Here is a 12,328-nt window from a genome sequence, read left to right on the forward strand (position 1 = left end):
GGTGGAGTGCAGGGCCAGAGGCCTCCTAAACTCATTCCCTTCCTCAGTGTCAGGAACCACTTAGACATAGCTAATGATGCTCTATAAGCTTCCCATGTCCCCCTCATTTCTTCCCCCAGCGCTGAGGGAAACTGGTCATGGTGTAAGCATTTTCTCAAGCTATTTTCCTTCTTGCCTCATCTGTGACTACCCTCAGGCACAATTACCTGGGAGAACCTGGCTGCTGTATTGCCCTTTGGAGGCACATTTGACCTAGTCCAGTTAAAAGGTTCCACCCTGAAGAAGGCCTTTGAGCATAGCGTGCACCGCTACGGCCAGTCCACTGGAGAGTTCCTGCAGGTGGGCGGTAAGTCACCCATCCTGTAGGGCTGGCCCATCCAAAGTGACATGGCATTTCCTGCTGGTTGGCTCAGCTTCCCCTTCACCAAAATTCCTGTGGTCAAACTGGTTTGGATTTTTCCCGACCCAACACCAATACCTTACCCTTTAATGGCTGTGGACTCTCAGAGCCACTAAGATTAGGTTGGGGTCAAAGCCCCAAAGCCCCAAAGCCCTGGCAATAAGCAGTATTTGCCAAGTCTGATTTGGACATCAGATGGGCCCTCTAAGCAGGTCACCTGCTTTGAGGTCTAGTTTCTAATAAAATCTTATTTAAGCATTCAATTATTTTTTTTTTAAATCCTCTCCTCTGTTCTACTCATCGTTGCCTGGAACCATGCCAAGATTTAAAGGAATGCTGTCCAATCTGTATTAACCAGGATGATTCCTGGAAGGAGCAGCCTACTGCACAGACATACCTGAACACCTGGTTCTAGTCCCACTGTGACCTGGGGCAAGTTCTCAACCCCTCTGGGCACAGGGAGAAAACCTTTCCTGTTTATCTCATGGACTGCAGTGAAAGTTGAATGGAAATAAATGCTTCCTAAATTGCCAAGGGCTTCTGAAACACTTTTGTTAATAATTCCACAGTCCAGTGAATTAATCCTTTAAAAGCAATCTTATTTTACCTGGAAATCATAATCTGGCCTCATTTTTTTAACCTTAGGTTGTGGTCCCGCTTGACAGATAGAATTGCTTTCCTGAGTTTTCCTCTGCAGAACACATTGCTGTTGAGACTGAAGGGCTACAGAAGGCAGTGGGGCCCTGTCCTAATGCCTATGGGGCAACCCAAACATCCTCCATTTTCCCAGAAGGGAGTTGAGGGAAAAGCAGTTTTCTGATGCTCTAGCAAAGCACTGCATAGCTCTATGCCTTGTGGAAGTCACCAAATCCCAAATGATTACCATTTAATGGTCTTCAAAATTGTAAAATGCTCTCTGCCTCTGATCTGTTTCTCACTTTCTAAGGCCATTGAATCAATTTAGTAGACCAATTCAGCATTTTAAGGGAAAAACAGAAAAAGATGTGGTTTTGTCCATGTAGAGTCACCCTTTGCCTATTCTGGTCCAGAGCTGGTTTTCCTTCCAGTGGTTCTCATATGTCCTGTAAGGACTCAAGGATAAAGGGTGGCTGCAATGTCACAATTCTCTTGACAAAATTTCACTCAGGTTTAAACCAAAGGAAAAACCACAGCCCCATGCCCCAATTGTAGAGTTTGGCCAAAATTCCTTAGGAAACAGAAATCTCCCTTTGGATCTGGTGAAAACAGATTCATTTCTTTTCTAGGAATCCATGTGGTGTATGATCTTTCCCGAAAACCTGGAGACAGAGTAGTCAAATTAGATGTTCTTTGCACCAAGTGTCGAGTGCCCAGTTATGACCCTCTCAAAATGGACGAGGTATATAAGGTGATCCTCCCAAACTTCCTGGCCAATGGTGGAGATGGGTTCCAGATGATAAAAGATGAATTATTAAGACATGACTCTGGTAAGCATGACTGTCTCTTCCTTTCTCTAAAGAACAACAAAATTGGGCCAAGAAGGGGAGCTACTAGTGGTGCCAGGAGGGCAAAGTGACTCCCTGTATTGCTGACTCCCTCCTGCTTTGCTTGTTGGAAAGCAGCAGCACAGCACAGCAGAGAGGAATATGTACCCTGTCAATCCCCGAGCACACACATGCCTTCATCCAACCCCAGAGACAAAACATTTGTAAATCAAAAATGTTTTAAAATTCTTTTAACTACATCTAAGCAGCTATTTAAATTGTGAAATATAAGTGAGTTTTGCATTAACAGAAATATCACACCTCTGGAATTTTAGGATATGGAAAACCATCACATTAAATCATTTAAATTTTCTTTCTTGAAGAAGTTTCTGTGTGAATCAGTCAGGTAGAAGTGGATGGGGTGAGCGCCGCCCTTTCAGCACAGTGGGTTGGTGGTACAAATCATAGGAATAACCATACTTGATGTCAGTTGGTACTTCTGGCAGCATTGAGGGACATTATATGCCAGCCTCACTTTTAGAAATTCTGTTGAGAGTCACATTATGTGCATACAGACCACTGACATAGGACACACTTCCCCTTCCTCTTCCTAGGGCAGAGACCAGCATGCTTACAAGACACACAAGCAGCTTCTTGGCATCTCTGGGTAGTTCCACCAGGATCTTCCTCAGTCTTATCATGCTGGACCTGTCATTTTAGCTACTTATTCCAAGGAGCGTGGAGGGCAGGACCAGACCAAAGGAGGCAGCCCTTCCTGGGAGGAAAGGTGCTGGCTTCTTCTGTCCCTTCCGTGACAGAAGATGGAAGGGCAGGCGTAAAAGCCCCATGAGACAAAGAGGCTGATAGCCATCAGCTGTCCACCACTCAAGCCTAGACTGAAGGATGTTAGAGAGAGGAGCTCATGCAGAAGGCTAAGGAAGCCCTGGACCTAAGCGTTCTCAACACTGGTTATACATTAGAATCACTTCAGGAGCATTTTAAATTAAATACCAATGGCTCGGCCGCAGCTCTTAAGAGATTCTAAGTTAACTGGATTGGGGCTAAACTCTTTTTCAGTGATTCTAGTGTACACCCAGAGGTGAAAACCACTGAAGAGAGAAGGGTTCTTAAGTACTGGAGTGATATTTTTAAAATAAAATTCTGTTGGGTTCCCAACAGAACATGGGTTCCCAACAAACATGGGTTTGTTGTAGCTATAGGCAATTAGCATTTATCCTCTCCTCTCTTTGGTAAAGGAAATCCCCCAAGTCCCATCATCAATTACATGAAAATAATTATTGGGCAGGCAAACAAAAGGAAGCCAGTTTTATCTCTCAACTAATTGCTCTTGACCCAGTTCCCTAATGCCCTTGTTCTGGAGTGGTTCAAAGGCTATGATGTCAATGACCTCTTTCTAGAGTCATCACAGAGCTGAGGCAACTCTACTTCCCCCAATTACCCAATATTGAACAACAGACACATTTTACATCTGGAGCATGAAAAAGCAATCAAATTCTTTGTACTTATGATCACTAGCGTTCTTGTCTTCTGTGACACTTTACCCCTGCTTATGAAATTGCTTCCCTTTTATAATTACAAAGGACTACCTTACTGTTGATTGATAATTACCTTTTCTGTAGTTAAAATAATGTATATGTTTTTCTAGGTGACCAAGATATCAACGTGGTTTCTACATATATCTCCAAAATGAAAGTAATTTATCCAGCAGTTGAAGGTCGGATCAAGTTTTCCACAGGAAGTCACTGCCATGGAAGCTTTTCTTTAATATTTCTTTCACTTTGGGCAGTGATCTTTGTTTTATACCAATAGCCAAAAATTCTCCTTGCCTTTAATGTGTGAAACTGCATTTTTTCAAGTGAGATTCAAATCTGCCTTTTAGGACCTGGCTTTGTGACAGCAAAAACCATCTTTACAGGCTCCTAGAAGCTGAAGGTTAGAGCATTATAAAATGAAGAGACAGACATGATTACTCAGGGTCAGCAACCTAGTGAGTTAGAAAAAAAATTAACATAGGGCCCTATAAGGAGAAAGCCAACTATGTTAAGTTTACGTGTCCAAATTTTAATGAAATTTTACTAACAATTTTAAACCATATTTTTCTTCTTCATATCCATTTCTAATCCATCAAACAGCTTATGTTTACATAAAATTTTATCATTCACAAGGAAGTTTTAAGCACACTGTCTCATTTGATATCCACAACTTATTTTTGGTAGGAAAGAGAGATGTTTTTCCCACCTGTCAGATGAAAAAACTGAAGCTCAAAAAGGGTTGACTTGACCATACAGCTAATGCTGACAGATCCAAGACCTAGACCTAGGTCTTTTGAACTCAAGTCCAGCATTCTCAACTATATCAAGTTACTGTTCAGAATACTTAATATCTCCTCTCTTCATAATTATCAATAGCCCCAAGCTCATGGATGACAAATCTCTGCTTTATTTCTTGTCTCTATTTTTTCACTTTATAGCTCCTGTTATAATAGCAAGTTTAATGGTATAAACACAGGATACCATCCTCTCTTGCAACACCCATGTGCCTTTGATGAGTCAGGTAGCAAGCTGTAGTAGATAATGAGAAAGGCCAGAGGCTGCAAAAGACAGTCAAAGGACACGAGAGAAAGGAAGGGGAAGAACAGGACTCCAGGACTGTTTTATATTATAGAAAAGCAAGAGCTAAAGAGCATTTACACATGTTAAACAGATACTTGTTAAGCATAGTGCCTGACACACGGCATTAGCTGTTATTTTATGAGATTCCATCAGCTCTGCCTCTGTCCTCTTTCTTCTAACATGAAGGTATCATGAGAAGAGAACCTTCTAACATAAGCTGTAATTCTAAACCTGCACTTGTCCCTCTCCAGCAAGAGGCTAGCACTGAATTCATTCTACTCATACTACACACCCAGTTATGGAATGTCCAGAGTTCTCGAAGAAAATAAATGACTTTAGGAAGAGGTATACATTTTTTAAGTCGCTCTGCCTCCAAATCTGAACAGTCACTGTAAATCATTCTTAAGCCCAGATATGAGAACTTCTGCTGGAAAGTGGGACCCTCTGAGTGGGTGGTCAGAAAATACCCATGCTGATGAAATGACCTATGCCCAAAGAACAAATACTTAACGTGGGAGTGGAACCACATGAGCCTGCTCAGCTCTGCATAAGTAATTCAAGAAATGGGAGGCTTCACCTTAAAAACAGTGTGCAAATGGCAGCTAGAGGTTTTGATAGGAAGTATGTTTGTTTCTTAGTGTTTACAAATATTAAGTACTCTTGATACAAAATATACTTTTAAACTTCATAACCTTTTTATAAAAGTTGTTGCAGCAAAATAATAGCCTCGGTTCTATGCATATATGGATTAGCTATAAAAAATGTCAATAAGATTGTACAAGGAAAATTAGAGAAAGTCACATTTAGGGTTTATTTTTTACACTTGGCCAGTAAAATAGGGTAAATCCTATTAGAATTTTTTAAAGAACTTTTTTTAAGTTTCCTAAATCTGTGTGTGTATTGTGAAGTGGTATAAGAAATGACTTTGAACCACTTTGCAATTGTAGATTCCCAACAATAAAATTGAAGATAAGCTCTTTGGTCTTTGATAGTTATTTCTTCTCTCATTCAAACACCTGCCAACTAAAGACAATATGACTGAAGGAAAACTCTGACAGATTTTCACTGGTATCATTTCTCTTGATCATAAGCCACTTACCATCTGATAACCCTCCATAGCCCCTCACACCCCTAAAATGAGAAGAAAAATGCATCCAATTTTTAAGTAGGAGAGAAAAGTGAGTGGTATTTTAAGGAAGACTACTAAATTTGGTGGCTTTGATATACAGAATCTGATATAAAAATGGTTTTGAGGCCAGTACTGATTCCTACAAATAAACACTTCCAAGTTAATGTTGAGGATTTTAATTTGCCTGTACTGGCTGTGTGCCTAAGATCTTCCTCAAGTACACTAATAACACAATGAGTTGGTTTCGTTATACCTCAATCAGTCAGACACGTTAAACCACGTTAGCTGTCTTTGTTTGGGCTATGTATTAGTCCGTTCTCATGCTGCTAATAAAGACATACCCGAGACTGGGTGATTTATAAAGAAAAAGAGGTTTAATGGACTTTCAGTTCCACATGGCTGGGGAAGCCTCACAATCATGGCAGAAGGCGGAGAAGGAGCAAAGGCACATCTTACATGGAGGCAGGCAACAGAATGCATGGAGGGTAACTGCCCTTTATGAAACCATCTCATGAGACTTATTCACTATCAAAAGAACGGCATGGGGAAGACCTGTCCCCATGATTCAATTACCTCCCACCAGGTCCCTCCCATGACACGTGGGGATTATGGGAGCTACAATTCAAGATGAGATTTGGGTGGGGACACAGCCAAACCATATCATTCTGTCCCTGGCCCCTCCCACATATCATGTCCTCACATTTCAAAACCAATCATGCCTTCCCAACAGTACCCCAAAGTTTTAACTCATTCCAGCATTAACTCAAAAGCCCACATTCCAAAGTCTCATCTGAGACAAGGCAAATCCCTTCCACCTATGAGCTTGTAAAATCAAAAGCAAGCTAGTTACTTCCTAGATACAACGGGAGTACAGGCATTGGGTAAACACAGCCATTCCAAATGGGAGAAATTGGCCAAAACAAAGGGGCTACAGGCCCCATGCAAGTCCAAAATCCAGCAGGGCAGTCAAATCTTAAAGCTACAAAATGATCTTCTTTGACTCCACGTCTCACATCCAGGTCATGCTGATGCAAGAGGTGGGTTCCCACAGTCTTGAGCAGCTACGTCACTGTGGCTTTTCAGGGTATAGACGCCCCCACCCCGCCCCTGGCCTCCTGGTTGCTTTCATGAGCTGGCGTTGACTGCCTGTGGCTTTTCCAGGCACATGGTACAAGCTGTTGGTGAATCTACCATTCTCACAGCCCCCTTCTAACAGCTCCTCTTCTCATGGCTCCATTAGGCAGTGCCCCAGTGGGCCCTCTTCTCATAGCTCCATTAGGTAGTGCCCCAGTGGGAACTGTGTATGTGGGATCCAACCCCACATTTCCATTCAACACTGCCCTAGCAGAGGCTCTCCATGAGGGCCCTGCCACCACAGTAAACTTCTGCCTGGACATCCAGGCATTTCCATACATCCTCTGAAATCTAGGAGGTGGTTCCCAAATCTTGATTCTTGATTTCTGTGCACCTGCAGGCTCAACACCACATGGAAGCTGCCAAGGCTTGGGGTTTGCACCCTCTGAAGGCATAGCCCAAGCTGCAACTTGGCCCCCTTTAGCCACGGTTGGAGCTAAAGCAGCTGGGATGCAGGGCACCAAGTCCCTAGGCTGGACACAGCAGGGGGTGCCTGGACCTTGCCCAGGGAGCTATTTTTCCCTTCTAGGCCTCTGGGCCTATGATGGGAGGGGCTGCCATGAAGGTCTCTGACATGCCCTGGAGACATTTTCCCCATTGTCTTGATGATCAGCATTTGGCTTCTCCTTACCTATGTGCATTTCAGCAGCAGGCCTGAACTTCTCCCCGCAAAAATGGGTTTTTCTTTTCTATTGCATCGTCAGGCTACAAATCTTTCAATTTTTTTTTTTTGTATATGTGCCACTGAAGTGAGCACAAATCTTCCAAACTTTTATGTTCTGCTTCTTCTTGAATGCTTTACCATCTAGAAATTTCTTTTGCCAGATATCGTAAATCATCTCTCTCAAGTCCAAAGTTCCACAGATCTTTAGGGCAGGGGCAAAATGCCACCAGTCTCTTTGCTAAAGCATAGCTAGAATCACCTTTGCTCTGGTTCCCAGTAAGTTCCTCATCTCTATCTGAGACCTCCTCAGCCTGGACTTTTTGGTGAAAACCATTCAACAAGTCTCTAGAAAGCTCCAAACTTTCCCACATCTTCCTGTCTTCTTCTGAGCCCTCCAGACTGTTCCAACCTCTGCCTGTTACCCAGTTCCAAAGTCACTTCCACATTTTCAGGTATCTTAATAGCAGTAACCCACTCTACTGGTACCAATTTACTGTATTAGTCCATTCTCACGGTGCTAATAAAGACATACCCAAGACTGGGTAATTTGTAAAGAAAAAGAGGTTTAATGGACTCACAGTTCCATGTGGCTGAGAAGGCCTATCATGGCAGGAGGTGAAGGAGGGGCCAAGGCACATCTTACATAACAGCAGAGAAGAGAGCATATGCAGGGGAACTGCCCTTTATTTAACCGTGAGGTCTCATGAGACTTTCACTATCACAAGAACAGCATGGGAAAAACCCACCCCCATGATTCAATTACCTCCCACCGGATCCCTCCCAAGACACATGGGGATTATGGGAGCTACAATTCAAGATGAGATTTGGGTGGGGATACAGCCAAACGATATCAGGCTGCTATAGCAAAATACAATAGAATGGGTAGCTTATAAATAACAGAAATTTTATTTCTCACAGTTGTGGAGGCTGGGGAATCCAAAAGCAAGGCACTAGCAGGTGTCTGGTGAGGGCCTGCCTCCTGATTCATAGACGGCACCAACTGACTGTGTCATCAGAAGATGGAAGAGGCCAGGTGACTTTGGGGCCTCATTTATAGGAAGCACTAACCCCATTCAGCACCCTCATGATTCAATCACCTCCCAAAGGCCCAAACTCCAACATCATCACATTCATGATCAGGTTTCAACATACAGAGTTTGGGGGAAAATAAACATTCAGGCTATATAAGTAGCTGCCTTCAGCAGTCTGACACAAGAGTAGGCTGGGTTTCTTAGAGGAAAGTTTAGGCTGCTAATAGGTGTCCTTCAGAAGAAGTTGCTACCTCTGTGAGTATGTAGTCCTATGGATGTTTGGTTTGGCAAGAAGCCATAACTGCTTGCCAAGATTAGGTAAATGTTCCTGTATTCGTTTCCTGGGGCCACCACAATAAAGTACCACAAACTGGTTGGCTTAAATGACAGAAATGTATAATCTAACAGTTCTGGAGGCTAGAAGTCTGTGGTCAAGCTGGCAGTGTTGGTTTCTTCTGAGGGCAGTGACAGAGAAACTCTTCCATGCCTCTTTCCTAGCACCAGGTAGCCTCTAGCCTAAGGCATCCTTGGCTTATATATGGTATTCTCTCCATGTCTTTACATCCTCTTTTTTTACATGATTATATTTGTGTCCAAATCTCCCTTTTATAAGGCCATCAATAATACAGGATTAGTGCCCGCTCTATAATGACTTCATCTTAATTGTCTGCAAAAACCTCTTTCCAGATAAGGTCACATTCTTAGTTACTGGGGGGTTAGGATGGAAGTCCCCCCGACAGGACTTCAAGATCTCTTTGGAGGACACAATTCAACTGATTACCAGTCCTCAGTACAACTCCATAATCAGCTGCAGCAGCCCTGGGGCAACCTGCAGCTCTGTGTCCTATATACTTTGTAAATGAGAGGTTATAATTCATGGTGTTGTTTTTTTTTTGTTTTTTGCTGATAAAATAGAAGACATTTTAAGCTCCTTTAGCTCCTATACAGCAAAAGGAACCAGTTTTGTTATCCAATGCAATCAAAAAGGAGCTTTGGAGTTTTATAATAAATTGGGAGGATCTCAAATTTCTAGTGAGTAGTGCCTCTGAGGCCTCTAAGAACCTAAATTAAATACATCATGAAAGACATTGTTAACAAATAAGCTAGCTAGAATCTAAAAATAATTAACTCTAATCCATGACAAGGATGGCTGGCATATTAGTTACAACAGTGAAAATTATACTAGGCTCATTATTCATTAGGATACTTGGTTGGAAAAAAATATATTCTGTAAACAGAGACATTATCAGAAGGGTATTAGCTTGCTCCCCAAATCAAGCAACTTGGAAAGCTATCCCAGAAAATGGACAGCAAGGTAAGTGAGGCATGGCTAAAATCCCACCACAAGAACAGTCTTAGTACACAGCCCTGTTGCTGCAGGTCCCAGACTAAGGCTGGAGAGCTGCTGGGTTCACAGCTAAAACCCAGGACATTAGACTATTCTTGTGCCTTGGTTTGTTGCCTACATAGAGATGGGAACATCTAAATTGCTGAGCCTGGTTCAAGTCCAAATTTATAAAGATAGAAGGCTGACTGAGGAATGAACTCCAGCCTTTTGGTTTCTGATACAGTTTGGATATGTGTCCCCACCCAAATCTCATGTTGAATTATAATCCTGAGCATTGGAGGTGGGGCCTAGTAGGAGGTCACTAGATTATGGAGGTAGATTTCTCATAAACGGTTTAGTACCATCCCCTTGGTACTGTTCTAGTGACAGTAAGTTCTCATAAAAACTGGTCTTTTCAAAGTGTGTGGCAACTCCCTGCTCTCTCTCTCTTGCTCCTGCTCTGGCCATGTGATGTGTCTGCTCCCCCTTTGCCTTCAGTCATGATTATAAGTTTCTTGAGACCTCCCCAGAAGCAAAGCAGATGCCATCACCATACTTCCTGAACCGTCTGCATAATCATGAGCCAACTAAACCCCTTTTCTTTATAAATTACCCAAAAACGGCCCCTATGAAAATGAATATGAATTCATGTACAAAAACATGTAAAAAAATAACGTTAAAAACAAAAAAAAGTACCTTCTAAGTCTTTCTTAAAAACTACACTTTAACCTTCCCCCTCCAATAATGTATATTCACTTGTGAGATATCCAGACTTCCATGAAAGTCAAAAATGCCAGAGAAGTAAACAAAATAACCTTTTTTTCGGTAAGACAAATCATTAAATAATCTGTAAGCATGTGAGTAATGAAATCAGCCCCTAAAATATTTCAAAGTATTATTTTATAGCAATAAATAAATATGACTAATCAAATTTTTAACTGAGCTTGATGTTCTTAATTGGATGTTGATTCTTTGTTCAGCTCTAAACTCCACAGATGAAGTAAGGAAGGCTATACATTTGAAGGATAAACATATGTTTTATTTTACTGGTAAAATCACAATGCACAGACTTTATATTATTAGCATTAATACAAACAGTGCTCCTGAAAATTTCAATAACTCATCACATTGTGAAACTGTGATTATGTGATCACAAATTTTGTGTCACACTAAGAAATACAAATAGCATCATTCCTGCTCATTTACAACATAGATGTACCATTAATCTGCTTAAGTCTTCTTCATCTAGCCTTGCCTTATTCCTCAATGAAAATCTATCTCTGAGGCCAGGCAGGGTGGCTCATGCCTATAATCCCAGCACTTTGGGAGGCCGAGATGAGCAGATCACAAGGTCAGGAGTTTGAGACCATCCTGACCAACATGGTGAATCCCTGTCTCTACTAAAAATACAAAAATTACCCATGGGTGGTAGCGGGTGCCTGTAGTCCCAGCTACTCAGAGGGCTGAGGCAGGAGAATCGCTTGAACCCAGGAGGCAGAGGCTGCAGTGAGCCGAGATCATGCCACTGCACTCCAGCCTGAGCAACAGAGTGAGACTGTCTCAAAAGAAAAAAAAAAAGAAAAATCTATCTCTAGGTAAAACTATCTCTTTGTGAAAGAGATCCCATCTACTACTGGAGAATAGAAGTGATAAGGAACAAACTAGTAATGTAACTTCAGTAACTGCTGTTCTCTAGAACTACAGCACTGATAACGCAGGCTGCTGGTCCCTTGATTATCTGATCACTGCTTAAAATTCTACCCATCCCCATCCTATTCAGGAAAGCCCACAACATGCAAATGAGTGAGAGTAGCATTAACTTTTTGACGCTTTTGTAATAATACCTAGCCTGAAACACAAACACATTGTACAGCTGTACAAAAGTATTTTCTTTTACTATATTTTATACTATAAGCTTTTTTTCTAATTTTAAATTTATTTTTCTTTAATTAATTTCTTTAGAGAGAGGGTCTCACTCTGTTGCCCAAGGTAGAGTGCAATGGCACAATCACTGCTCACTGAAGCCTCGACCTCCCAGGCTCAAGTAATCCTCTCACCTCAGCCTCATGAGTAGCTGGGACTACAGCGATGTGGCACCATGTCCGGTTAATTTTCCTCTTTTTTTGCAGAGAAAGGGTGTCACTGTGTTTCCCAGGCTGGTTTCAAACTCCTGAGTTCAAGGGATCTTCCCACCTCAGCCTCACACCTGGGAATCTGCCTACTTGGGAGGTTGAGGCAGGAAGATCCCTTGAGCCCAGGAGTTTGAGGCTGCAGTGAGCTGCAATCACGCCTCTGCACTCCAGCCTGGATAACAAAGAGAGACCCTGTCTCATAAAAGTTTAAAAAACAAAAAACTAAGACACATACACACTAGCGTAAGCCTACAAAGGGACAGGATCATCAATATCACTGTCTTCCACCTCCACATCTTATGCCACTGAAGGTATTCAGGGGCAGTAACGTGCATGGGGCTGTCCTCTCTTAAGATAACAATGCTTTCTTCTGGAATTCCTCCTGAAAAACCTATCTCGAGCTGTTTTATAGTCA

The 12,328-nt window shown here is 42.1% G+C and overlaps 1 protein-coding gene across 2 annotated transcripts in view, besides 1 other annotated feature; it reads left to right on the forward strand.

Moving 5' to 3' along the window:
- The window catches only part of NT5E (5'-nucleotidase ecto), a 45,702-nt gene extending 40,229 nt beyond the window's left edge, over positions 1–5,473 (forward strand). Inside the window, exons 7-9 of one of the 2 annotated variants that reach the window (NM_002526.4) lie at positions 197–346; positions 1,666–1,866; positions 3,530–5,473. In NM_002526.4, coding sequence (NP_002517.1) covers positions 197–346; positions 1,666–1,866; positions 3,530–3,693 — 515 coding nt within the window. In that variant the 3' untranslated portion in view covers positions 3,694–5,473. The remainder of the gene's footprint in view (positions 1–196; positions 347–1,665; positions 1,867–3,529) is intronic. The other variant, NM_001204813.2, reaches the window with a different exon arrangement.
- Positions 10,927–11,168: a silencer, noted in NCBI's record as "fragment chr6:86210956-86211197 (GRCh37/hg19 assembly coordinates)". NCBI's record gives its function as "represses an EF-1alpha promoter that drives an FKBP-Casp9 reporter gene in an ReSE screen in K562 erythroleukemia cells {active_cell/tissue: K562}" and the evidence as "EXISTENCE:reporter gene assay evidence [ECO:0000049][PMID:32094911]".

This window comes from Homo sapiens, chromosome 6 (assembly GCF_000001405.40).
Source record: "Homo sapiens chromosome 6, GRCh38.p14 Primary Assembly".
Classification (NCBI taxonomy): Eukaryota; Metazoa; Chordata; class Mammalia; order Primates; family Hominidae; genus Homo; species Homo sapiens.